The 27,964-nt window shown below is 43.6% G+C and overlaps 4 annotated features.

The window, feature by feature from the left end:
* Positions 2,814–2,933: a silencer, noted in NCBI's record as "silent region_16117". NCBI's record gives its function as "represses an Ori minimal core promoter by ATAC-STARR-seq in GM12878 lymphoblastoid cells {active_cell/tissue: GM12878}" and the evidence as "EXISTENCE:reporter gene assay evidence [ECO:0000049][PMID:35858748]".
* Positions 3,014–3,113: a silencer, noted in NCBI's record as "silent region_16118". NCBI's record gives its function as "represses an Ori minimal core promoter by ATAC-STARR-seq in GM12878 lymphoblastoid cells {active_cell/tissue: GM12878}" and the evidence as "EXISTENCE:reporter gene assay evidence [ECO:0000049][PMID:35858748]".
* Positions 17,839–18,358: an enhancer, noted in NCBI's record as "H3K4me1 hESC enhancer chr5:77283519-77284038 (GRCh37/hg19 assembly coordinates)". NCBI's record gives its function as "activates a minimal SCP1, AML or CMV promoter by ChIP-STARR-seq in naive H9 embryonic stem cells {active_cell/tissue: H9 hESC(naive)}" and the evidence as "EXISTENCE:reporter gene assay evidence [ECO:0000049][PMID:30033119]".
* Positions 18,359–18,878: an enhancer, noted in NCBI's record as "H3K4me1 hESC enhancer chr5:77284039-77284558 (GRCh37/hg19 assembly coordinates)". NCBI's record gives its function as "activates a minimal SCP1, AML or CMV promoter by ChIP-STARR-seq in naive H9 embryonic stem cells {active_cell/tissue: H9 hESC(naive)}" and the evidence as "EXISTENCE:reporter gene assay evidence [ECO:0000049][PMID:30033119]".

The raw sequence follows: 27,964 nt of genomic DNA on the forward strand, positions 1-27,964 counted from the left end.
TATCAGCAATGATAAAATCAGCTTCTTGAGTATTAGTATGCTCCTTGTAGAGCTGGGAGGAGAAGGCAAAAAGCCAAAAGAGCAGAAAGAGTGGGAGACAAAAGAAGCAGAAAACTCGAAAACAAACAATATAATCCTAACCTCAAATAACCAAGACATGGCAACACTTTCAAATACTGAAAACTCCTTTACATTTGTAATTGTTTCACAATTTCTAGATATGTAATCAAGGAATAACACCCATTTTAAATTATTTCTTAAATCAAGAATTTGAAAAGTTTTTTGTGCCAGAAAAATGTTAATGTTTATAAATGCCTGAATAATTAACATTGACAAGGTATAACAAAAACATTTGATGTTTTTCTCACATACTTATAATGCTTATGGCTTGACTGGAATAATGACAAATAGGAGGAATACTTGGAAAATTTCACTGCGTGTGTGTAGGTTTAAGCAAAATATTTAACCGTTCTGGGCCTCAGTTTCTTCATGTGCACGTAGGGCTGTAAAGAGAGTATGATAATCTCTAAATTTCTTTCTAGTTCTAGGAGACAACAAAGTAAAATCTGCAAAGTATAACAATTAGGATCAACAAAATTCCTGCATGAATTCCAACATTTGCCATAACAATATATGGTTTTTCAGAAAGCTTAATATCTCTTTGTGGTATTTTTGTTTTTAAGTATTGTGTTAATATACAGCATTAACTTAAATGTTATGCTCTAATCAGCAGCTTGGATGACCTTAGAGTTTTACAACTGAAACGCATTGAATCGATCCAGTAAAACATATTTGGGATTTTGCCATTGCAAATCCAGCTTTACGATTTACTGACAACAAATGGACTAAAGGAAATCTGTGTCTGCAACATCCAACACTGGCTCTGCTATCTCTCTATCCATACTTGAGGCAATGAATGATCTTTCTGCAGCCAGCTATTGAAATTTTCAATCGTGAAATTAATTTCATTCTTTTACCCAGATATGCAGATATCCAGGTCAACATTTTCTGGAAACATATTAAATGGAGTGGCACAGAAGGTTGTACAGGGCAACAAAAATGGCAATTTTGGACAATTCAACGAGACGTACAGCCAGATCACAACTCTTTCACAGCTTCACTATAAAACTCCCAGCCTCTAAAAGGAAAATCTCTCGTGATGCAAGAGAAATAAGTGGGAGCTGTACCAAAGTACATTATATTGTGACACAAAAAGCATAAATCGTGTGTGTATGAAAATCATAAGCCCTAAGCTTTAGAGAGAGTTGTGCAATTGACAATCAAATGGAGCTTAAAGGGAATTAGGAGGTTTTCAACTAAAGTCTTGAAATAAAGAAAGTAATATTTTACGGCAAAAAATTGCAAGTGTCAAGTTTAAATCATAAGACTTTGCACCATTGAGCTACTAGCTAGTTCTATAGCTTCTTCAGTCCTTAACACAGGGAAAGACCAACTTTCATGCTTGATAAAACTTAAGAACTTTAGAAATACATTTAAGAACATAATTCATGTATTTGTGACTTTTTCCCTCCCTAAATGGCTAATTGTAGAAGAAAAATGAGTGAGCATAAGAACTTCTTGGATGGTGACCTATTCCCCCATTTGCTTTAGACTCTCATGAATTCTTGTGTTTTTTAAATAGGGCTGCCACCAATTTGGTCATTCGAAGAAAAGGCGGGTCTCAGGAATATGGATGGCTGTCCTCCCTTTCCCCTTCAGATGTCAGCCGCATCTACTCCTGCTTTTGGAAAACCCCAGGGCAAACGGACCTGCCAGGCAGCCAACCAACCACCAGCCCCCGTGAAAGGCTGGAACCCAGCTGCCCAATTCGGTTGCTCCTGTCCAAAGCCAGACAGGTGGCAACCCAGATTGAATCTGTTGTTGTGGGAATGATTTGATTCACAAACAAGGTTATTAAATTTTATATGGAGACACAGGCGAAAGTCACAAGATCCTGGAGAGAAAGACCTGATTCACATAAATTTATCTTAATAGCTGTGAATTCGGGAGCATAAAGCAGAAAAAAAATTAATGGAAAGGCATTTCACCTCCTCCGTTTGCCTGCTCTCCTCCACTCCCCGGCACATAATATGCCCACACACACACATACATCAACAACTGCCATGACTCCATCCAGCCTTTTGCAGGAGGAGCCCAACACATTGATCTGAGCCTGTTTTGACATATAAACTCCAATTTGGCCCCAAGTCACTGCGAGTGGACACTGCCACCAACGTCTCTGACACTAGGTTATTTGTTGTTGCTGTTCGCTGTCCCTGTTTGCACATTAATCCAGTAACAATTAGGTGTCAGCGAGCGTTGTTTCTGCTTAGCTGATAGCCTTGGGCTCTGCGCTTGAAGCCCTAATCAGGAGTGTAAACTCTGCTATATTTCAATTTGGAGAAGCGCTCTTCCGCTAAGAGGCCCCTGGCACTGCGATAAATAAAACGCCTATTTACTCTATTGCCACACTTAGACATCTAATGCACTTACTACCAGCCCCCTAATCATAGCCTACAGTTAAAACCGCCTATAAATCACTCCGTTCTCATCCTGCACATTAGTGAAGCCATTTTCCCCAAACCCCACAATGAGCACTGTTTCCTTTTCTTGTTAGTCAAAAGCCAGATGATTTTTATTAGGTTAAAGACGAGTTCACAGATGGTAAATCGCGTGGAGAGAAATGAGCTGGAGAGTTACACCGAGTCAACGCGGGACACGGCTCCCGGCCCGGGCCGGGCCAGGGGTGGGAGGCGGTTCCCTACCGCAGGCGGCGGGACTCCCATGCGCCGAGGGACCCAAGTCTCCACTCCACCCACACGCCCACCCGGCGTCGGGGCGCTGCGGCCTCGCCTCACGAGCCCAGAGCAGGCCGCAGCCTGGGCTGGGGATCCGGCACCTGGGCAGGGTGAGCTTGGCCGGACATCCTCCTCCAGGACTACCCGCACCCCACAGTCGCGTCAAAAGCGCCCCATCCCCCTGTCTCTCGCCGCGCAGGTTTCCCACCGACGCCCGCTCGGAAGGCGAGAGCCCCCACGTGGCCCGGCGCGGCGCGGCCCCCGGGGACCGCGAGCAACAAAAGCCCGGCCCGCAGCCCCTGCTCCTCGCCTTCCTTTTCAATTCTCCCCTGATCTCAGGTGGAATTAGGAGGATTAAAGCAGCAAGTAAATGAGGCGAGTGTGCAAAATGACTCCTTTCTGAACCAAACGGCATGCTCCGTGCTGGGGAAATGAGATGCACATTTAAATCTCATCCATCCACCGCCTGCGGCCACCGCCATGTACCTGCCTACTTAGCCCAAGGGTTAATTAATTGAGGCTTCAATGCACTATTGCAAGAGCATTATTGCATTTGATACTCTACATCTGTGATTTAAAACTCTTTCAGTCCCTTGTCAGCAAGGGAGGGTTTTTAACTAGGAAATTAGCATTCAGATAAGGGAACGCTCTATTTGCTTCTGAAAGGAAGGAAATATTAAGGATGCTGGTGCACAAACCGGGCTGTCATATCCTGTCCCATCCTGGAGGGAGCGCGAGGGCCCGGCTCCTCTGGGAGTGGCGGCGACAGGGCGTCGTGCAATGGACGCCAGCACCAGGGGCGGGCTGGAGGGGGACCGGCGATCAGGGAAACCTTACTCCTCGCAGGCTTCAACCTGCTGGGGCGTGTTTACGTCCGCAAAGTCCGATAATATATTTTGTCCCCACTTCTTAGGAGCTGATTCTTCTTAAAATGCATTGCCACGTTATCTCTAACGTTGGCTTTCTGACTTCCCCGCGGGGCTCGGAGGAAGTAACCCAGTTTCTTAAGGAAAAATGAGAGATAAACATCACAACAGAATTCTAATGACACTGCAACAAAATCAGGTACAACATTGCTGTTAGTGATTATCTTTATTATTTTAAGTATTGGACTCAAGTGCTAATACGCTAACGAATACAAAGAACAGCAACAAAAAATAGTGGCTCACAAGCTCACATTCTGGATCAGAAACCAGTTAGAATTATGTGACCTAACCACGTCGTGTTTTTTTATTATTTTTTATTTTATTTTATTTTTTGAGACAGAGTATCGCTGTGTGGCCCAGGCTGGAGTGCAGTGGCGCGATCTCGGCTCACTGCAACCTCTGCCTCCCGGGTTCAAGCGATTTTCCTGTCTCAGCCTCCCTAGTAGTAGCTGGGACTACAGGCCTTGGCCACCACGCCCGGCTAAGTTTTCTGCAGTTTTAGTAGAGAAGGCATTTCGCCACGTTGGCCAAGCTGGTCTTGAACTCCTGCCTCAAGTGATTCGCCTGCCTCGGCCTCTCAAAGTGCTGGGATTATAGGCATGAGCCACCTTGCCCGGCTAAGTTTTCTGTAGTTTTAATAGAGACACGGTTTTGCTTTGTTGGCCAAACTGGTCTCGAACTCCTAGCCTCAAGTGATCGGCCCACCTGGGTCTCTCAAAGTGCTGGGATTATAGGTGTGAGCCACCAGGGCGCCTGCCTGTGGTGTAATCCTGTTGTAATGTCTGATGTAGACATAGTTTTTATGTAAAATGACTACATGATTATATTCTGGATTCTCAGGCCAAAATGAACGAAAGAAAGAAAAGAAAAGAGAAGAGAAGGAAAGGAAAAGAAAGAAAAGCCTTTGGTGCTTGCTCACTACAAAATGAACAAATTGCAAGTGGAAAGGAAAATGTTTCCTTTTTTGAGTCCCTTCATACCTAGTGGAATTTGGAAAACTTAGGAATCCTTCAATAACAAACACTTTGCCAAGTGCAAGGACTTGGAATTTCTTCTCTACTGAATCTACTGAACCATGGGTCTTAATTAGGTGAAACAGCATCACCTACAGTGGGATTTGGTTGGGACCCCCAAGTCAATAATTTGATTGAATAAAGCTCTTTGGAATTTTCATGAGTTGGGCAGAAGATGGGGAACTGGATTTGATGGGGTTTATGTGTGTGTATGTGTGTGTACATGACATCAGTTCTGTACTACTTTCTCATAATGGTCCAATTCTGTCTTTAGGTAGTTCTTGCTGAATAATCTTACTGGTAATTACCCAGAAGTCTCCCTGGCTAATCATCACCTACCTTGCTCAAATTTTACTCTTCTACTTCTTGGTAGCATTACAAAAAAAGAGGAATCAGACAAAGCTGGTGATAATAACAAGAAATAATAGATGGGCTGTGTGTTTGACTTATGGTTTAGCTGTTTCCATTCAAACCTGGAATCCCAGTGCCAATATATGAGTTGCATTTTGTTTCTAAGGGCCAAGTACTCTAACTTTGTTATGTACATAGCGTTTCAAGTGTTTCATAATACACCTAGTCTGTATAACTTTGTCTCATTGGTGGCAGTCACCTTTCTGCTACCACACACAGAGAGACCAGATACTTTCCATTATTTTAAAACTGCTTGATATAATCCTTTAGAAGTAAGAAAACTAGAACTTGCTTTTCAGTCAGCTCTGCAACACATTTTCCCTGCATTGCTCACACTGGTTCATTATGGGAAGGCTTTTCCCCCGTCTCCTAGGTGGTCTGCATTGGGGTCTTCAAAATAAAAGAGCACCACAGGAAGAGTGCACAGCATTTCTGAAGAGAAGAAACGCACAAGTGACTCAATAAGCTCTGAAGATTGATAAAATGAAATGGTGAAGTTTTGAATCTACATACTTGACAGCTATGCTTGGAGACATTCAATGACATCAGTCTCCTAAGATTACTCTACTTTCACAACAGAAAGAGAGGTCTGTTATTTGGAGCGGCTTATAGGGCCAACTGGATGCCACCTGGTATTTGGAAAGGAACATGGAGCTGAGTATTGAATGGTTTGGATTACAATACGTATAATTTGAGCACCTTTCTTTAGGGTGGGCCCAACAAACTTATATTATGCAACAAATTCTATCCAAAATAAGAATATAATAAAACAGAAAACTAAAATGGCATTCTCTCTAGGAAACTGGTACCCAGGAAACCTTTTCCACCATAAGGAAAGGACTCTGAATATCTAAGTCTGCAGAGAGTAAATTAGCCACAGAATTCCTCTAAGTTACAGGCCCACTCCTTGCCGCCCCACACCCAAATCCCTTCCAGCTCCATTTCTCTCTAGGTCCAGCTGGAATTTCTCTTGCTGGTTCACACCCTCAGTGGTTCCCTTTGTAGAGTGAGAGGGAAAAAGGAACATGTTCCTCTTTCCTAATACCATGTTGTTCCAGACAGAAGCAGAGACAGTGTTTCATCTTGTCTATCTTGCTGCTCCTTCACTGTGCAATTCGCAAAATAGGCTCTGCACGAATCACTTGTGGGATCAACAAGTGAAGTCCCATTATGACTCAAGGAACTGTTCCAAATGCCTGGAAGGCAGTTTTATTATACTGAAAAAAAAAACAAACCTAAAAAGTGGGCCATAACCTTGGGTTGACAGATTTTCAGTGCACACTAATGTGTGTGGTGAGCTTTGCCCTGCGGAGCTCCTGAGGGGCAGCAAGAAGAGAGGATGGATGGGAGGCAGCTTGGAGCTCCTGATTCTGAGGTGGCCAGCTGCAGTGAGACCAGTGCTATAGACTTTCTCATGTGAAATCTGCTTAGCAATGTGACAGGAAAATAACAATTTATTTAAAAATTCACCTCGGTCTCTCTTTACATAGGAACATGGGTTTTTTGTCCATGCAATTTTTGTTTTGGCTTTTGCTTCTTGGTAGGATTTGATTCTCATGAAGGAGGCTAAATGGTTGGCTTGGATAGTGAGGAGTGTCACTCCATAACTCACCTATCGTAGAGCTGGCTCTAAAGGTGGTGCCTCACAAATGGAGAAACAAAGGTCTTGCCTTCTGGCAATTCTGTTTTGTGAACTGCCCCTTTTGAACGTGGGTCCTTAGCTTCCTCTTGACTTCGAATATACCAGGTAAGACTACAACTCTTTTGCCAAGCAAAAGATGCTAATAATTAAATGATTCCCTGCTACATTTTTTTTTTTTTTTGAGACAAGAGTCTCATTCTGTCGCTGGAGTAAAGCAGCACAATCTCGGCTCACTTCAACCTCCACCTCCCATGTTCAAGTGATTCTCATGCCTCAGCTTCTCAAGGAGCTGGGACTACAGGCACACGACACCACACCTGGCTAATTTTTGTATTTTTTAGTAGAGATGGGGTTTCACCATGTTGGCCAGGCTGGTCTTGAACTGGCCTCAAGTGATTCGTCCGCTTCAGCCTCCCAAAGTGTCGGGATGACAGGTTGTCAGCCACTCTGCTTGGCTGGATTTCCCCAGTTCAGAAGCTAAAGTGTGGATTAAAGTTCCCAATTCATCTCTTCCTACCTTGGGTAGAAGGGACATAATTCTATTATTTGTTCCTAGGCTACATACACATAACAGACAGAGTTCAGGAGGCAGTTCCTGGAAGATTCATTAGTAAAAGCCAGAAGAAGATAAATCCAAGAGCCACTTCAAATTTTCTCCAGAATTTAGTGGGACAGAAATGTAAGTAATAAACACAAAGATTAATAGATGAGCAAGTATATAAATTTTCTTGGTAGCAAAGGAGCCTCATGATGAAAGTTTTCGATAATAACATTCTTTTAAAAAGAAGTCTTACTTTGGTAAACATCAATGGAAAGATGTGTGAGTGATTTTTAAGTCAAGGTGACTCTTTTTCGGAACGGAGAGGGCAGTTTATTTGCTTTAAAAACAATGCAAATCTGCCGGTCGCGGTGGCTCACGCCTGTAATCCCAGTACCTTGGGAGGCCGAGGCGGGTGGATCACGAGGTCAGGAGATGGAGACCATCCTGGCAAACAAGGTGAAACCCCGTCTCTACTAAAAATACAAAAAATTAGCTGGGTGTGGTGGCGGGCGCCTGTAGTCCCAGCTACTTGGGAGGCTGAGGCAGGAGAATGGCGTGAACCCGGGAGGCGGAGCTTGCAGTGAGCCTAGATCGCACCACTGCACTCCAGCCTGGGCGACAGAGCGAGACTCCATCTGAAAAAACAAACAAACAAACAAACAAACAAAACACAAAAACACACACACACAAAAAAAAACAATGCAAATAGAATTGGAAAGTGCCAGATTCTCAATGGAAAAGAAAAATGCAGCAATTAAAAAGCCTTCAATAATGTTTTCCCCCCTTAGTAAAAGAAAAGCAAACTCACACAGAAGCTTCTACAGAAGTGCCCTGCTAACAGCCTGTAAGAAAAGCAGCAGGCATCACTGGGGATTCAGAATCTCAAGGTTCTTCCAGTCAAGACAATCTGGAAAGAGATTATTTTATTAACCACACCCCCAAAGTTGGCCCTGTTAGCAAGTGTAATAGGACTTTTTTCAGTTTCATAAAATATCTTGATAACTGGAAAGTGCCAGTTAATGGTACCCTGTTCCAACTATGAATTTCCCAAAGATTAATATACCCCTTTAGGTTTCTTAAGATTCCATCAGGACGCCTCCCCTAGTCTTGGGTGTTTTACAATCTCAGTGGGCACGAAGCTCAACTGAAACTACCTTTCAACAGCTTAACTGTCATCTTCATCTTCTTCTGGCATAAAAATACATATTTTCCCATAATAAAGATTTTTTATAATAGCAATAAAGTAACTCCAGAGAACATGGTTGTCTTGAGATAGCTTAACTCTGTCTGGTGTCTCATAACGCCCCGGGGATACAGCAGGCCCATAATACTCCCTTTTGCTGCCGTGTCTTTGCTTAATTAAGGAATAAAGCCAAAAGGTCAATGCTGGAGAAAAATGTAAATCTTCAAAACTTTTCATTCTTGACCTAAACTCTGTGTTGTAAAACCTCAGTAATCTCTGTAACAAGCAGTACACCACCCAGCACAGATACCAGAATATGCATTACATCTTTAAAATATGGTTTTGACACTATGAAAACAAATTCCTGACCTCTGGACTTGGAATTATGATTCTGACTTTTTAGAGAGAGACCTTCACAAACCATCCACTGATCCCCAGTGAATGGAAAGCACTATAGCAGAAGCCATCTCCTTCATCAAACATGATTTGTCACTGTATTTCAGAGCATCACTGTGTTGACTCTTATACAGCTAGAAAGTGAGAAAGTGAGGTTTGTGTGTTTTTGTGGGGAGGAAAAATGAATATGTATATTCATCTCTATGGCTTATTTGTTATTCCATTGCTGCTGTGAGTGCAAAATATGATTTCAGCTCCAATCGTTTTATGAGTTCACTGATTATGTTCCATCATAATGAGCAAGGTGGTTTGGACATTGGTTTAGTTTACAGGAGCTGCAATCATTTGCTATGGAGATTTACAGCCTATAATATAGGCACCATACTCAAAATGGATATTTCTGACCAATGATACTCATTTTAAATAGGAGCTATTCAATCTCTAAACTGATTTGTTAGAGCTGATGCAATGAAATAATAAATATTACTTGCTTTCAAGAAATAGAACCTTCTTACCACATTCATGGCTGTGCTAATTGAAGGAAAAGTGTTATTCCATTATGGAACTAATTAAATGTCATCTGCTTCTCTCTCAGATTAATAAATGGACAGACAGATGCTACGTTGATCAATTAATGTTGTGATAGATCAATCAATTGATTTGGACCTAGATAATATGTATTTATGGAAGACAGAGAATGATTTATTTATTTTTTTCTAGCAAATAAGAGAATCCAAATGTGACTTTATTCTATAAATGGGAACAGATGATGAGCAAAGAGTTGCCATTGTAGTCTTGCTGTGAAAAAGAAAATTCATCCTTCTTCTTTTGCTTACATATTCAGCAGACATTATGGCTCAATAAAAATGGGGTGTTTAAATATTTGATAAACATGGGTAGAGCAATGCATTGCTAAAACTGCTAGAGTAGCCTGGCAGATTCTCATGGAAACATAAATTTGCCTGCATACAAATGGAACTGTTTGGTAATTCTGCCTTTAAAATTACCCCTCTCTCTCCTCTCTCTCACATTTTTCTTTTCAACTGTTATTTGATAGGGCTTGGGCTTTCACTGGATAGGATTTAAACTGTGCAAACTGTCAGCTTTGCTAACCACATTAAATGGACCTCGCACTAGTGCCTAGACATTTGCAGGCTTCTCTTCGCTATCATCCAGCAGAAGCAACCAGAGAGGGTTCTCAAGCTCTATTGATTTTACATCATTGACACACTTCTTACATCAATCTGAAAGTCAAGCACAGTAAACTTATCACCAAATATGGAAGACTCTTCAGGTTGGTCTATACCCATCTTCTGCAGTAAAAACTGACTCTGCCATGCCCCAGCGGGGAGGCTGGCCCTGGCAGTAGGTTATGGGAGTCCCTTTTATCAACATGGTGTTTCAGCTGGGCAGATAGAAGTGGCATCTGGTGGACAGAGGGATGCCAAAGAGGGAGGTGCATGGCTGACCATGAGGATTGCCAAATGCCAGCATTTTATCTTGTTGGTTTCTGGATCTCAAGGATAGAATATAGAAAAACCCAAAAAAAGGTACAATTTCTCTCTCTCTCTCTCCCTCTCTGAGTGTGTGTGTGTGTGTGTGTGTGTGTAATTTTTAACAATTGTTGAGCATGGCCTCCCCTTCATGATACTGTAAGCCTGTTTGCTTCTAAAATCCATAAGCCACAAATGAAGCCATGGGATTTATAAAGGAAAATGAGTGACATGCTTGGCCAATGATCAATGGCTTTTAGTAAAATTTGATGAAGAGTAGGATTATTAGGGCTGGGCATGGTGGCTCATGCCTATAATCCTAGCACTTTGAAAGGCCAAGGTGGGTGGATCACTTGAGCCCAGGAGTTTGAGACAAGCCTGGGCAACATGGCAAAACCCTGTCTCTACGAAAAATAAAAGAAAAAATTAGCCTGACTTGGTGGCATGTGCCTGTAGTCCCAGCTGATGGGGAGGTTTAGGTGGGAGGATTGCTGGAACCTGGGAGGTCTAGGTTGCAGTGAGCTGTGATCACACCACTGCACTCCAGCCTAGGTGACAGAGCAAGATCCTATCTCAAAAAAAAAAAAAAAAAAAAAAAAAAAAAGAGTAGGATTATAGCAAGGATCATGGAATGTGGAATTCACTCAGCAAACATAGAGACTGTTGGAGAGGTTTGTGTTTAGGGAGTTGTCAAATAGATAAATATACTCTCTGAGTACCTGCTAGATGCCATGCATGGAACAAACCCTACAAATAAGCAGCAGCAATTGTGCTGAATTATGATTATGAGAATAGAAAATGCTCTGTCTAGACCAAGGTGTCTCAAAGTTTGGGGCACTCGAACAGCAGCTTTATGCCCACAGCAGCTACCTAGGGCCCATCATTCAGACTGAGTTAGGTTGGCAGGAGTAGGGAGGGAGGTAACGGTGAGACAGAAAGGAAGGTGGGAAAGGAGGGGCGAGGTCAGAATCACGCAGTTTTAAAAAGGCATCTCAGATACTGAGTCTAAGGATGCTGGTCTATGCCATCAGTCCTCATGTTAAATGAGAGCAAGACTGTCCCTTGAGATCTGTGTTCCAATTTTATTTTGTTCTCTAGTGCAGTGGTCCCCAACTTTTTTGGCATAAGCAACCAGTTTTGTGGAAGACAGTTTTTCCATGGATGTTGTTGGAGGGGATGGTTTCAGGATGAAACTGTTTCACCTTAGATCATCAGGTATCAGATTCTCACAAGGAGCACACAACCTAGAGCCCGCACATATGCAGTTCATAATAGGGTTTGAGCTCCTATGAGAATCTAATGCCACCACCGATCTGACAGGAGGTGGAGCTCAGGCGGTAATTCTTGCTACCCTGCCGCTCACCTCCTGCTGTGCCGCCCGGTTCCTAATGGTCCTGCAGACCAGTACCAGTCTGTGGCATGGGGGCTGGGGACCTTTGCCCTAGTGCATCCGTTTCCTATGGCCACTGTAACAAATTACCACAAATTTAGTAGCTTAAAACAAGACACAGTTATTACTGGACAGTTTTAGAGGTCAGAAGTCTGAAATCAGTATCACTGGGCTGAAGTTGAGGTGTTGGCAGGGTCATCCTCTAAGGGAGAATCTGTTCCCTGCCTTTCCCAGCTTTTAGAGCTGCGTTCCTTGCATTGCTTGGCTCATGGCCCCTTCCTTCACCTTCAGGGCACCAGCGCAGCATCTCCTCTCTCCAACGGTGCTTCCCTCTGCTCCTGCCACACAGCCTTCTCCTCTTCTGTGTCAGAGCTCCCTCTGCCTTGCTTGTGATTGCATTGAGGGCCCACTGGTCTAACCCAAGATCATCCCCTCATCTCAAAACCCTTAATTTAATCACATCTGCAAAGTGTCTTCTACCATCCAAGGTAATAGTCTGTCATAGGTTCCAGGGATTAGGACATTGATACCTTTGGGAGCCTTATTCAGCCTATCACACCAAGTGGTGGTGTCTTTCTTAAAGTCACATTTATAAAGTCAGGTGTAACTAACACAATAAAATTCACTCCCTTAAAGTATACAGTGTACAGTTTGATGAGTTTTGACAAAAGTACACAGTTGTGTAACAGTTATCACGATCAAGAAACAGAACATTTCCATTACCCGAAAAAGTTTCCTTCTGTCTCTGTGTAGTGATCTGTCTCTTGCCCCAGTAATTTTGCCTTTTCCAGAATGTCATATAAATATAATCCTATGTATCCAGTTTTGTGTGTCTGGCTTTTTTCACTTAGCATGATGTTTTTGAGATTTATCCATGTAGCCATGTGTCATTCATTCCTTTTTGTTGCTGAATGATATTCCATTGAATGGAATTGTGTATTTATTCACCAGTTAACAATATTTGGGTTGTTTCCTGTTGGGAACAATTTTAAGAACCTGCTAAGCTGTTTTCCAAAGTAGCTGTATGATTTTGCATTCTTACTAGCAGAGACTTTCTTTTTAATTTCAGCAACCCTTATGGGTGTGTACTGAGATCTCATGGTAGTTTTAATTTGTGTTTCCCTGATACCCAATGGTTTCGAACATCCTTTCATGTGCTAATTAGCTATTTGTTTATCTTCTTTGGTGAAGTGTCGTTTCAATTTTTTTTTTTACCTGTTTTTAATTGGCTTGTTGGTCTTATAAATTGTCAAAGTTTTTTTATACATTCTAGATTCAAGTTCTTTATCAGATATATGCTATGCAAATATTTCCCCTCACTTGTAGCTTTCAACTTAATATCATTTTTTAAGTTGGCAATTAGGGTTCACAAAACCTGAAGTGGACTCATAATACAAACCTTTAGAGATGAAAGTGTTTTAAAAGTAAAACTATACATACATCATAGAATGCTATGTAGCCATAGAAAAGAATGAAATCATGTCCTTTACAGGAACATGGATGAAGTTGGAGGCCATTATTCTTAGCAAACTAACGCAGGGACAGAAAAACAAATACCGCATGTTCTCACTTATAAGTGGGAACTAAATGATGAGCACACATGGATACACAGAAGGGAACAATATACAGTGTGGGGCCTATGGGAGGGTGAAGGGTGGGAGGAGGAAGAGGGTCAGGAAAAATAACTACTGGGTACTAGGCTTAATACCTGGGTGACAAAATAATCTGTACAACAAACCCCCATGACACAAGTTTACCTCTATAACAAACCTGCACATGTACCCCTGAATGTAAAATAAAAGTTAAAAAAAAAACTAAAACTAAATTAACATGCATACATTTTTAGACTCTAATCTTGATCTTAAAGTTAGTTGCCTGAAAATGAAGTCATCTGGATCCCAGACTCCCGCTTTTTATTTTCCAGCTATATGACTGAAAAATTCCATTTCTTAAGCTGTAATTTTCATGGGGCCCAAAACAGCATTTGTTATTCTCTCAACATTTGGCTCTACAGCAGTTGTAAAATGCTAATCACGGTGCTGAGCTGACATTCCTCGGTGACATTGGCATACCACAAAAAAGCATTTGGCAGGATCTGGATCTATACATACTGAAGTTGTTTATTTATTTTTATTTAAGAAACAGACAAGTTAATTTCACCTCCATTTAGGACACAGAAAAGAGTCAATGTTTGCCAAGTCGAAAAACACAAAATTGATAAAGGGAAAAAAAACGCATTTTCAAGCCTCTAAAATGGAATTAGAAACAGGAGAGTGGGGGAAAATGTTATACATATGGCTAGAGTATCCCTCTTAAAATTGCCTCAGGCTTCTCCTTGAAAATCTTGTTTCTTGAAAGTTCCCTACCAGAAGATTCTGTCCCATGCTAAGAATAGAATGCAACTTCAAAATAGCTGGCTGGCATTTTCAATGACTGGGCACTGTTTTTAAAACATTCTGTGACTTGAGAGTTGGGGTGAAAATACTGAAAATTGGAATGTACAATTTACTTCCTACTAGAAATACATCTTTGTCTGAAAAAGCTTTTACAGCCTTATTTTAACACCCTGAACCTCAACAGCCTGTCTTCTGGGGGGTTGGGGGGAGAAACGTGGAAGTAATGTTCTGAAAGCCAGACCCCTCATCTCTTGGGTGAGGGCGCTCCAATCAGGAGGAGGGGTAGATTCCTGTTGTCCTATTTTGGTGCAAGAGCAGGGACAACCAGAGAAGACCCTTCCCTCGGACACTTGCCCCAACATTGTTGCAAGGGTGCACAGAGAGAAATGTTATCAAACCATCTAATTCTGCCCTCCTGTCAGCCTGACAGGGACTTCGAATGCACAACTGGCCCAGAGCTGATTACCTTCAGGTGCGGTTAGGTTGAGTTAAAAATTCCATTAGCAGTGCACAGGCCTTGGGAACAAGGTTTCTCAGGGGTGGGCTTCTTCTACTTAACAAGGAAGAAATGGCTTCTCATGTCACAGTTATCGCAGGGAGAGGACTCTGGTTTGTTTACACTCTGCGGAGGAGTAGAGCCTCAGCTCTGCAGGCCTGGAGGCAGAGGCCAGCACAAGCCAGAGTGGGAGCACACTTTTCAGAGAGGAGACGGTGCCCCCAGCCATCGCGCCAGCGGGAAAGGCAGGGCCCCCTTAAGCGCAACCTTGAGCCACTCCCATGAATCACCCACCCCCGGTTCTCAACCTAATTGTTTTTCATTTTCTCATAATAACCCTCCTCCCTCACCCTAAACCAAACACTGAAGAGTTGCCCTCTATTTGCGAAGCTCCAAGGCGTGCGGGAGAGGCAAGTGCTGTTTGCTACTCCCTGCCTTGCTTTTAATTTTATTCTAGTAGGAAATCATTTAGACCATCAAAGTCCCATCCTCCTTCTTTGAGGCTTTTGGGCTTGAATAGCTCATAGAAGTACTTCCCTCAGCCTCAATATTTTAATGCATGCTTGATTGCAATGGTTTTAAAAAGAAAAGGAAAAAGAGGGGGACAAGCAAACAGGCAAATTCGGGACAAAACCAGGCATTTGAAAAGATCCTTTAGGTTGAGCTGTTTTTTCACTCAGGCAGCTTCTCGTATTGCTGATATTGTTTCATGATCAGGGCTTGCATTCTCTGTTTCCCTCCTCATCTGCACACTTAAACTGTTCATTAGCTGAGAATGGGACATCCTGGGAAAGGGAGAAACAAACAAAGCAGCCCGGGGAGCTGGGAGAACAGCTCTTTCTCCTGGGTTGTTGCCCTGGGCTTTCCTAGGAGCCCTGGCCAGTTCCCCTGGGGTCCCGCAACAGTTTAAACAGAGTCCTTAGCAGCTAGGGGCAGCAGGGGGCATGCGGGTGGTGGTGGGGGCAGGAGGATGGAGATGGAGGGAGAGAACTGGAACCCCATGCAGGCTCTGAGCAAACACCCTCTTGTAGCTTCCCACTGACCTCATAGCCTGGCATTCAGGGGGCTCCATTGATCTGTCAGATATTGGCATGATGGTTTGTGCACTTAGCACAAACATCGATCAAAATGTGGCTGAGGAGCTATGACCAGTTCAAAGCTATGGTGTGCCCAGGTACAAGGACCCAGAACCACTCATATCACATGGCCTCAAGAGAGGTCCAGAAACACCTTTTGAAAAGGCCACGGGGGACCCCATCATGGGGGCCTTTAGTGCTTGTGACTTCAAAAAAGTCACCATACACAGAACTACCTTCTGGGCTGTTCCCGGATTGGCACTTTTTTTTTTTTTTTTTTTTTTTTGAGACAGGGTCCCACTCTGTCACCCAAGCTGGAGTGCAGTGATGCAATCATGGCTCACTGCAGCCTTGACCTCCCGGTCTCAAGTGATCCTTCTGCCCCAGACTCCAGATTAGCTGGGACCACAGGCATCTGCCACTATGCCAGGCTTTTTTTGTTTTTTGTTTTTTTGTGTGTTTTTTAGAGATGGCATTGCACATGTTGCCCAGGTATGTGTTGCCCAGGCTGGTCTGGAACTCCCAGCCTCAAGCCATCCGTCCACCTCAGCCTCCCAAACTGTTGGAATTACAGATGTGAGCCAGGGTGCCGGGCCCGGATTGACACTTATTGGTGTGTCTTGTTCCCCCACTGAGATGTGAGCCCCTTGAGGTCAGGGGCCTTGCATCACTGTCGCTGCATATCTAGGCTAGAACACACCTGTCTTGGGAAGGTGTTCAGTGCCTGCCGCAAGGAAGATAAGCTGGCAGTGGAACAGGAGGAGGAGACCCTCATGGTGCAGCTGCAGGTGGAAACATGGTTTTAAGAGAACACTGAGCCACCTGCTGGTGTCCACACAAAGCTCTGCTCCCACTGACCCCTCAAAGAACAAAGGACAAGAGAGGCTCCTCCAGGTCTGAGAGGGCAAGGGGCCAGCAGGTCAGGGTGTGGGAGTCAGCTGAGTCTGGCTGACTTGCCTTCAGGTCTATTTCCGGCCCTCCAGACGGCCTCCGGGGGCATCATGGAAGATGCTGAGGATGATTTCTCGGCCCTCTCCCTCTGTTATTTGGCCCCAACCACTGCAGGTCCTGCCTTGGGGTTTAGGCATTTGGTACGTTTTAATCTATGGCTATCAGCAGGGTCACTACGTTTTCAGGTGGAAATATATACTGATGATTACCATGGATATTGCCAACAAGGCGGACCACCCTCTCAGTCAGAAGATTCTTCAGGAAACTTCAGGAAAGACAGCACCGTGGACAGGAGGAAGAAACCCTCCTCTGCTGCCACAGCCCTGGGTATCCAGTGGTGCGAGTCTCTGCCATGGCCCATGGCTTCCTGTGCTGGGGTCCAGACACCTGCCTGAAGGAGATGTGGGGCATGAAGATTATTTTTTTATTATCTTCTTAAATATGTGGCTGTGGGCCAGGCACGGTGGCTCATGCCTATAATGCCAGCACTCTGGGAGGCCGAGGCGGGTGGATCACAAGGTCAGGAGTTTGAGACCAGCCTGGCCAACATAGTGAAACCCTGTCTCTACTAAAACAAACAAACAAACAAAATTAACTGGGTGTGGTGGCAGGTGCCTATAATCCCAGCTACTCGGGAGGCTGAGGCAGGAGAATCGCTTGAACTTGGAGGGGCAGAGGTTGCAGTAAGCTGAGATCAGGCCATTGCGCTCCAGCCAGGGCCACACTTCGAGACTCTGTCTCAGAAAAAAAAATGGGGCTGTCTCTCCCATTCCTGGCATGAAAGGTACCTACTTTCTGTGGGCTCACCTCCCTGTGTTCGATCCTTTCAGCCAGTTCCTCTCATGCTCTGGGCGCCTTCTCTCCTCCCCACATCTGTTTACATCACAGCTCCCCAGCCCCACCTCCACCCCAAGGAGTGACCAGACTACAAACGCTCTTGCCAGCCAGGGCGGTCCTCTTGGCTGCCAAAGCTCTGTGCAATTGCAGTCACAGACAATCAGATTAAATGTCCTATCACCCGGCATTGATCAGATTAGCAACCTTGTGACTATTCATTAATTGTATTTTCTCTTGGAGCCTGGTTCAACTCAATACCCAGTGCATTGTTGGTGGCATAAAAAGTAAACACAAATAGGATGTTTGTTACATTTTAGAATAAACTGTCTGCTACTTTTTCAAAACAAAGTAGAAGAGGATAGAGAGGTTAATGCAATGTTAATTTTCGTGAGGCAATATAGTTAAACTAGGAGATTTCCCAAGAGTCATTAACATTCTGTAAAAGGCCTTTTAGAATTCCTGTGTCCTCAGCGCTTCAGGAAACCCCCTGCTACCTTGGTAAATTTGGCCTAGGTCCCCCAGGGCCCACCTTTTTTGTGTGGTAGAAGTCACAGAGGGCAGGCCCAAACTCTTGAAGTGAAGGGGAAAAGAAATCAGGGTGTTTATGTATGTGACTGGAGAAGTCTCACGTACGATTGTCCCGGATTTAAACATATAGGAAGAGGACGAAGGCTACCAAGGGTGTTTCCCTGCCTCAGACGCCCAAAGCCCAGAGACCCAGCCCCGCTCCCTGGGTGCACGCAGAGCCCCACCGAAGGATGCTGGCGTCCCGTGGGAGAGGGATGCCGTGGGAGGACCTGCTTCGCCCTGATTTCCACACATCTCTCTGCTGTCCCACCTGACCACAAGAAGAACCCGAGGCCCCGGGCGGTCAGGAGACTCAGTGGCTGTCACTCACTGGGCAGTAAAGCCAGTAAATCACCCACCTTCCGGCAACGTTGCCAGAACCCACCTGATGTCTTGAGGGTCACAAATGCGAGCGCCCTCCTGTTTGCTCCATTTCAGGATTCATGGCATTCCAGTGAGAAGAAATCTAGAAGAGAAGCTGCTAAATAATTATCCAGAAACATTCCCCGACAGCAAAATCTATTAATGAGTGGGAAAGTCTTTGTGGGGAAATGGTTAAGAATGGCATCATCTGACATGATTAAAATGCTATTAAATAAAGAACTTGGGAAACCGGGGAGACGCTTGAAAAGGCCGATAAACGGGGCAGCCTCACATGCGTTCCCCCGTACAGACCTTTCATGAGAACATTTCCGTTTTTCTTATCTAACATTCATCCTTTCCTCAGTTTCTAAGTGGAGAATACCCACTCCTTGGATTTTTTTAAATATAAAATAATGTCCATAATTTAATGTTTAATGAGCTCCAGGCATGGTACTGGGCACTTTATCTGTCTGAATTTTAGGTGCCCTCTTCATTTCATACTGTCCCTGCAGGGCTGGGAGAGAGAGCAGAGGAATTTCTTGTAAGTTCTCAGGAGCCAGGCAGATCTTGGGCCATGCCCAGCCGCCCTCTCCGGCTGTCTGACTCTGAGCAAGGTGGTAGCTTCTCCAAGTAGCAGTTCCCTCATCTGTAAAATGCAGATGAAGACAGCCTCTCTCAAATCTGGCTGTGGTGAGGATAGAAGAAGAAAATGTACTTTAAAAAGGATTAGCCTAAGGCCAAGTATAGGATGCCCTTCATTATGGAAGATAGCATTAAAAAATAATTTTAATTAGTGTGAATCTATTCTCCCATTTTGGTATTTTCCATATAACTTTGTTTATCATTTACTTCTTATTGCCTGTGAATCTCACAGGAGCACAAATCCCCTCCAAAGCAGATTTAATTGGGGCTAAAAAGGCAGGAATCCTATGAAAAAGAAATCTCTGTGGCCATGTGAAGGAGTAAACATTTCACTGATAGGCGCCAATGTTTGTTATTCTGTGAAAATCTGCTTAATTTATAAGCAACAGTGATACTCCCAATAGGTTAAGTTGAATTCACCCTTGAGAAATTTTAATTTCAGTGTCACTATTGTTATAATCTGGGGGTCTTCCAAGATAGACATATCAGTAGAAAAACAGTGACTCATCTGAGAAACTCAGGGCTATATATATATATACACATATATATATATTTGCATTTTTCATATGTACTTTCCAACTTCCTTCCTTTCCTCAGTATTTAAGTGTAGAATACCCACTCCTTGGATTTTTTAAACTATAAAATAATACATACGTACGTATATATGTACACACATGCACAGATATATTCTGCTTTATATAGTTTAGCATTAAAATGTATTTGAGTAATACCTAAGACCATGTCTATTTAATTTTAACCAGTGGGTTATGGGAATCATCAAAAATCAAACACAATAAAAAGAAACAATATTTATGGCATTTTAAAGCCTATCCATTATTGGTTAGTGCTCCCCTCAATTGTTTAACTGCAATTGGTTCCACTTTCTCAGTGTGGATGATTTTTATACATCTGAGTTAAAAAATAATGCTGCTTGCAAGTGAAAAGTTAAAGACCAAGACAGGGCCTATTAGAATAACATTACACTTTTTTATTCCCTGCACTTACTTTGTCAATTACTAATTATTTCCCTTTTGCTATGCAACAAAATAGAAGCCATAAAATCTTTGATTTAATGAAAACTTCCTACCAAATAGGTCCTCTAACTCTGCTGAAGGCTTATAGGTAATTTATCTACCTCAGTAGGCAATGACCTTTTGTGAATCATGAGTCATTCCTCACTCCTGATGAGAGGGATCCAGATGCCATCCCACCCTCTGCCTGGCCCCTCCTTCCTCCATCCAACAGAGGCTGTGCGGCTCCTGTGCCCTGCCTCCGACTTCTCCAAAGTGGGCTGTAATTAGTCCTTGCACAGGGAACCTGCCAGGGAGTGGATCTCCCTCCTCCTGTGCTCCTTTGGCTCCTTCGTTAAGGTGACTGAACATTCAATGTTCTTTTCTAAGTGGCCCTGAAGAAAAAGGGGTGAGGGATGGTAGAGGCCAAGGTAAGTCTTATTATTGTCTGGGAAGTGGGAATACTTCCTCACACTTCAACAGAAGCCTCTCTGCCTACTCTTCCCAAAGCACAGTTATGGAGAAAATCACCAGGGGCTCAGAATGGCATTTTGGGGTCAGTATTTTAGCGGCACAGAGCAGTGCATGCTGGGAGCCACACTGCAGTCCTGGGGTTTCCAGGTGGTTTTGACTGAGATTCTAACATGCATGTTATTTGTAAATTATATACATGTACTATTGATTGTACATTATATACATGTATTACTAATTATATACGGGGTCTCTAGTTATACATATGTATTACTGTACACATACATGTATCACTGCTCTGGACCAAAATATTAAGTGCATTATAAAACACATATAAATGTAGAAGTTTGAAAAGCATGAGATGAACAATAAAGATGAAGATTTTAAATATTTTCTCCCTGTTGCTTCTGGATCTTCTTGTAAATCTTTCTGCTTTCTGGAGGTCCAGAGAGAAGAATAATATGCGCTTGTTTTGTTCCAAAGTAGGTTTCTCTAAGGCCATAGGTAACAGTGCGGGGGGTTGGGGGACGTAGCCTCCCGTATCACACCACGCTCCCCACAGATGTCTGAGGTGCAGGGGTAGTGTGGCGGGGGAAGGGGGGACTAGTAACTGTCTGAAAGATTGGGTTGCTCCCCCACCCACCTCACCCCACCCCTTTGTGCTTTCCATCCCTGAGAGTGGCCACTGCTGGGAGAGTGAAAAGATTTGCAGACCAATAGCTTTGGAATTCCTTTCAAAGTGGTTGAAAAATCTGTCTTCAAAATAGGTGGGCAGTGGTGGAAGGGTCAGAAGCACAGCTGCAGGCCGAGGCAGCACTGGCACAGGCCTGGGTGGGAGGCAGAGGCGTGACTCAACTCTGCCCCACCAGGCGGGCGGGTGCAGCCAGTGACTCCACACGGTTGGAGGGGGCCTCACACAGGGTAGAACTTGTCCTTTCTCACTGAAAGGTCAGAAAGAAATTAGAGGTGGTCCTTCATTGCTGCCTTCACCAGAGGAACATCCCATCTGAACATAAAAGACATGAACCTTGCAAATGTAAAAGTAGGTAGAGCTTGTGGAGCAACGTGAGGCTGAACCTTACATCTGACTTTGATCACTTCTTGCTGCCATGCCTGGACAGCACAAGAAATAGTGAGAAATAACAGACAAATCAGACTGCATAACAAATCCAGACTTTGAAATGCTTAGTCAACTGCTTTTTAATTAATATGCACATTCATATAATTAAATAAGACTACCTTTAAATTATGTTCAACTCACAAGGTTGAATGAAATAGACTCAACACACTAATCTTACAGATAAAACTATATTTCTTTTTTCTGGGGTGGGGGAAGAAATCCAGTTCCTTCAAATGGGGTATTTTTAGATATTCTTATTTAGATTCAAAGAAAATAAGGAGAGTCAAAGGCAGAAATATTGTGGTTTTTTCTGAAAATATTTTTTTAAAAAAAGGAACGGAATTCCTTGATAACTTTCTGCGTTTGAAATAAGTAAGCTACCAAGAAGATGAAACATTAAACCTACATTTTAGAGAAATAATTAACAAAAAAAAAAACAAGAAGGAAAAACTCCTACCAATACAGTTTCTTTCTAGGTCAATGATTTTGCTTTATCCAGTTGTCTGGGTGAGGCTGGTGACTGTGACCTGCCAAGGGAAGCCACTGGATTTGACACATTTCAGTGTCAGCTGTGGGATCTCTGTCTTAAATCTGTCAGGATGGCCCTGTGGCCACTTCTGCAAAAACCCCTGGGGACAAAATTTATTGTTATTCCTCAATAGCTTTTTGTTCACTTCCAATATAGGGGTCCTGGGTCATGCTAACGATTGTGGAGAGACAAAATGCTCTCTCTATATTTTATTAAACAGATCTCTTAATAATTAATCAAATGTGAAAATTATTTTCCATCACTCTGACACTAAAGCTAAAGCATTGGGTGGTTTTTTTTTTTTTTCTCAGCCTTTTTCTTTTCCTTTTAAATTGCTCTCTGCGGATTTCCTCAGCTACAAAGCAAGTTGAGTAGAGAAAGCCCGATTTATGACTTGGCTTTTTAAACCATAATCACCCTTCTGGGCTTCTACTGGAGAAGGGCTGGGGGATTTTGTAGGTTGCCAGATAAACACCTGAGAAAACGTGTTCTCAGATCCCCCAAATCCACGGAGGGGCCGTGATCCCACGGGTAGCAGCAGTCCCATGGAGGCCCATCTGGGCCGCACCACAGCATGGCGCTGCCAACGGGAGATGGCATCACTGGTCATTCTCTCATTCTCTCTCAGGGAGCGTCTGTGTTTCCAGGAGAAAATAGCTTAGTAAGAGTTACTGTCTTCACCTCCAGCTGGGGTAAGAAGGAAAAACATTGCCGAGCTGAGGTATTAGCCCAGAGTTCCATTTCCAGATAGTGGAGTTTGCACCATTTTCAGCCTCCAGCAAGACTGCATTAAAAGATGGGTAGTGTCTTAGTGAGTCGGGCCCCAAGTCACTGACAGATTAATACCAGATAAGGGACATTGCTAGGGAAATGCACAGCAAGCAGTACGTCCAACCTTTCCTTACTAAAAGGTCAGAAAGAAATTAGAGGTGGTCTTCATAGCTGCTTCTCTCAAGGAACATTCCATCTGAACGTTTAAGATGTGAACCTCGCAAATGTAGAACTAGACAGCCCGCAGGTGGGGAGTGTGGAGTTGGGCTTCTATTAGGAGAGGGGCCTCTGAGGAGTGTGTGGGGCGGAGTAGGCATGGCTAGGTGCACAGCTGAAGCTACCAAACTAGGTGATGCAAAAGCCAAGTGGGCAAAAGGAACGGTTCGGAAACGCACGGAAGAGCAAAGCCTGCTGGCAGCAGCGTCAATATTCTCCCTCTGAGCACTAATTACATTATTAAGCAAACAGACCAACACAGGGGCTGAGGGACGGAAACATGTATTTAGGATCCAGTCACTCTCCACTTGGCTGTAAATAATCACGTGCAGTACACAGTTCTTTCCAACCGAAGTGCACTATGGGGCCCTTTCCGTAACTTTTAAAAAATTTCCTAAGCTTGAGAAAGGGAAGTGTTGTTTTCCAAACAAGCCAGTTTTGGAGAAGTCAGATTTTCTACACTCAGTGCTCCCCAGCCCTATCAGATATTTCTGAGAGTGATAAGCAGAGCAGCCAACATCTTCCGAGAGGAGATGCAGGATTCAGCAGGCATAGGAGATAGGTTCCTCGAGCGGCAACTTGCATTTTCTTGGCTGCAAACAGCACACACTTGCTAATTAGACCTTTGCAATACGCGAGAATCCAAATCTGCTTTGATGTAGCTAAATCCAGTCTAAAGCGGTGGATGTAAACACAGGACTGGAAGAAACCACGAACAACATGGAAAGGATTTATATGCAATGGGAATAAATCTGCTTTTTAAAAAAGTCTAAGAGGAGCCTGCAGAAGGAAATCTGCAGCAGGCTGAGCCAGCCGGGTGAATGGCAGAAAGAATAGAGGCTATTTGAATACTGATGTGGCCCTCACTTTCTTCTATTTCCATTAATGACATGCTCATCAAGGGCAAACAATGGGACCGGCTGCCGGCGCCTGTCACAGTGTGTGGGTGCTGGGATGCCAGGCTGTCATCCCCGGGCTGCATTTAGAGACCTGCACGCTAATAAGAAGTGCTCTGTGCCGTCAATGCAGACAGGTGCTTCCGCGGCTGGGACATGCTCCATTCCCTTCCCCCTGAAACCCTCCTCTCTCAGCCCCCCTGACAGACACCATGAAATGCACAAATTAACAGCCCCATCATGTTGGGCTGCTGCTGCCTGCGGTGAAAGCAGAAAATCAAGTTGTCACCCAGGGTGCAGTGATAAAGCCACAGCCTCATTTCTCTGTTGGTGCCCTATAATAGCAAATGCCAGACAGCTGGATGGATGGGAGGCTTTGGATTAAGGCCTTGATGCACTCTGGCCAGAGAATTAGTAGTTGCTGTTTCCGTGTGCATATCCTGTTCAAAACAAACATCTGGAGAGAGGCAAGTTTCCTGGGACAGAAATGTCCTTTGCTTCTTCTAGAATCAAAGAAAACAGCCAAAGGAGAGTGGTATTTCCTTTCTCATAAGATTCCAACTCTAAATTTGCTATGAACTTTATCAAGGACCTAGAGCTATGTGAAGTTTAAGAAGTTGGCAAAAAGTCCAGGACCAAGACAAATCTTGGGGATGCAGAGAAGAGTTCCTGGGTCCACAGGGCCTCAAGCTACTTGCGCCCCATCCAGCAAGCCCTCCTCTGCCTCCTGACCCCATCCAGCAAGCCCTCCTCTGCCTCCTGACCCCATCCAGCAAGCCCTCCTCTGCCTCCTGACCCCATCCAGCAAGCCCTCCTCTGCCTCCTGACCCCATCCAGCAAGCCCTCCTCTGCCTCCTGACCAAACGGACTGTTTCTTTCTAGGGTGAATTGTTAGAACTCTTAGTCTGCCTAAAGCTTCCCTCCCACCCCAGACCTTTCCACTCCTCACGATTACATCTGCATGGGTTGAAGGCACTTCTCATGAAATAATAGATTTAAACAGCCCTGTCCCCTGGCATCATAGCCAGTTGGCTCCAAGTGTCTAGTGACCTGACCTGGCCTGGGCTAACATTTGCCTTGGCCAAGTCTGCAAAAGAGAAGAAATGGAAGGCTTGAGCCCTTCAGACTCCAAGGAGTTTAATGACATAATGGCCTGAGAACTTCAATATAAAACAGGAAGAGCAACTAACGAAACTTACAACATAAAACCCCCCTCCTGTCATTTTTATAGTAACAGTAAAACACTTTATTGAATTTATGAGCTACATAATGACTATGAGGAATGTTAACTTGAATTAGAACCAACTCGGAAGTATAATATCAACTATAAACGCTTTTCTATTACCCCATCCCTTTAGCTTTTTCTGTCCTCTTTCTTTTAACCAAGGGACATTGCCTTCCTCAGACTTACACCTGAGACAGAGTTTACAACTTGCTAATACATCTTGACTCTTCCTCCAAAGCTCTACAGCCGACAAACCTCCCTCCCAGGGTAAGACACTCTCTGGGGGTGACCATTCCCATTCAAAACCTCAGCTCCATTAAAATGCATTTTAGAAAAGAAACCAGTTAGTCTTTTCTTTGCATAAAGCCTGTCAAATCGAGAGGATCTCTGGGGATACATATCAGGTATTTCATTATCTGTAACTCTACATTGTAACGGCCTTTCCAAAATAGAAACTATAACCCCCTTGGAAGTTTATGAAAAGCATCTTCAGCCAAGGGTGCAGTGTTTGAGTGAGGGCGGTGGTCAAGTTTCTAATGACTAGATGTGGGGGAAGCATAGATCACTCTGCTAAGCAGCATGCTAGACTCTGTTTTCTGTTTCCATTTCACTCCTTAAGTCTTTCTGCTCCCCAGGGATTTTTCCGAAGGGGCAATAAAATAAAATGGGTGAAACAAAGCCATAAGCCAGTTAAGTCTGAAAGACATGTCATCTCATCTAAAAGGAAGAAACGGACCATTTCCATGCCTAGGGCTGACAGCAACGCCTGAGCTGGCAATAGTGCTATTCCATTTGATTTATAGAATAATGGGGTGACAAATGATGACAAAAATAAACTTTTACTGCACTGAACTGCTCCTTTATTTATGAAATTTGGCCAAGTAGTGAAATCTTTTATCTGCAAGTTGTAACATGGAGTGGGAGCAAGCGATTATGGTGTGGTAATAGTAATCCAGCGATGGAGGCCGAGTCGGTTGGAAATGGATTGAGGTAAAATAACTCCCGCACCATGATAAATGTGAACAGCGCTTTGCTGACAGATGATCTAACAGGTGTTCATAACAACTATATAAGAGGATTTATTTATGACCAGCCACAGCCGCAGCACTGTAAATCAACTCCAGCAGCTGCACACCGCTGAAACCAAGTCCCTGATGGAGGAACGGTGCAGGAGCCCAAAGAACACAATTCACTCCAGAATCTTAATCATCAAATAACATTTTTTTAGGTAATTACACCACAGCACAGAAATCATAATGACTTTCAATTAGAAAACTGGGCTGTCCATAACTTTGTTTACAAAATATTTTTATTTAGGCCCTATGGTTTTGATGAGTCCTGAATAAAACAAAGACTTTGGGGTCAAGGAAGAGGGCTCTTGGATGATGAGGATTTCTGTGTGATGCCAGTAAGAGGCCCTTTCACACTGGCTTCATTTTTTAAGACTCAAAAATCAAACCTTAAGTTGGAAGGGCTTTTTGTGTCCGCCAAATTTCTACATTAGGCCCCCCTTATCAGCATGCTTGAGTTCGTATCTTACCCTTGGTTGCCATTCCTAATTTTATATATGGTTTATTGACAAAATGAAATAAGCATTCGAAAGATGAACTCATTAGAAACGACGTTTAAATGTAGCTTGAAGGGCCTACCTTCATACGACCTTTCTTAACTACTTTGCAAAAGCAGAATTTAAGTTTTCTTTTCATAGGTCATGGTCTTAACAATTCCTTACCATCCATGGAGTTGGTTGACCCTATCATGACATAAAACTTCTCATTCATCACATCACTAAAGAAAAAAAATATGTGGTTCTTACATGGGGTGAGAAAATGCTCTTCTGGAGTGGCGGGGGGAAACGGGAATCTTGGTGGGGCACTGTTTGAGAAAGCTAATCTCCTTTATCTCTTCCCCCACTATGTTCTGATACTTTCTCCTTGGCAACCACTCTCCCTCCCTTCCTATCCAGGGCAGTGAATGAGGAAGGTGGAGGTGAGGTTTCCCTGCTCTCTTCAAGTGCCCACGCATCATCTGCAGGATCCAAGGCCTGACATGGTTGAGTCTACTGGCAGAATTATCTACCAGTTAGGTTTTCTAAACATCTCTAGATCTCAGGATAAAGATGTTTCTTGAGTTACACCTGGATCTTTGGTGTCTCTGGCCCTCAAGATTGCAGATGTCTTAGACTGTTATCAGTGTCTTAGACTGTTATTAAAGGCAGGTTCATGTCAGTTTCTGAGGGTTCAGTCTTCAGTTGTACATATTTACTGAATCAGCTAGGAATTATATGCACAAGTGACTATGTACATAAAACTGGCCCCAGAGAAAGACAAACACAAGGGAAGATTAGAAATTTTAATATCACCTCAGCTCACAATCACTGAACCAGTAAATAGATAGTAATGGAATTTAATATTCTTTTTTTTTTTTTTTTCTGAGACAGAGTCTTGCTCTGTCACCCAGGCTGGAGTACAGTGGCACAGTCTCGACTTATTGCAACCTCTGTCTCCTGGGTTCAAGCGATTCTCCTGCCTCAGCCTCCCGAGTAGCTGGGATTACAGGTGCCCGCCACCACGCCTGGCTAATTTTTGTATTTTTAGTAGAGACG

The sequence above is a fragment of the Homo sapiens genome, chromosome 5 (genome assembly GCF_000001405.40).
Source record: "Homo sapiens chromosome 5, GRCh38.p14 Primary Assembly".
In the NCBI taxonomy this organism is placed as follows: Eukaryota; Metazoa; Chordata; class Mammalia; order Primates; family Hominidae; genus Homo; species Homo sapiens.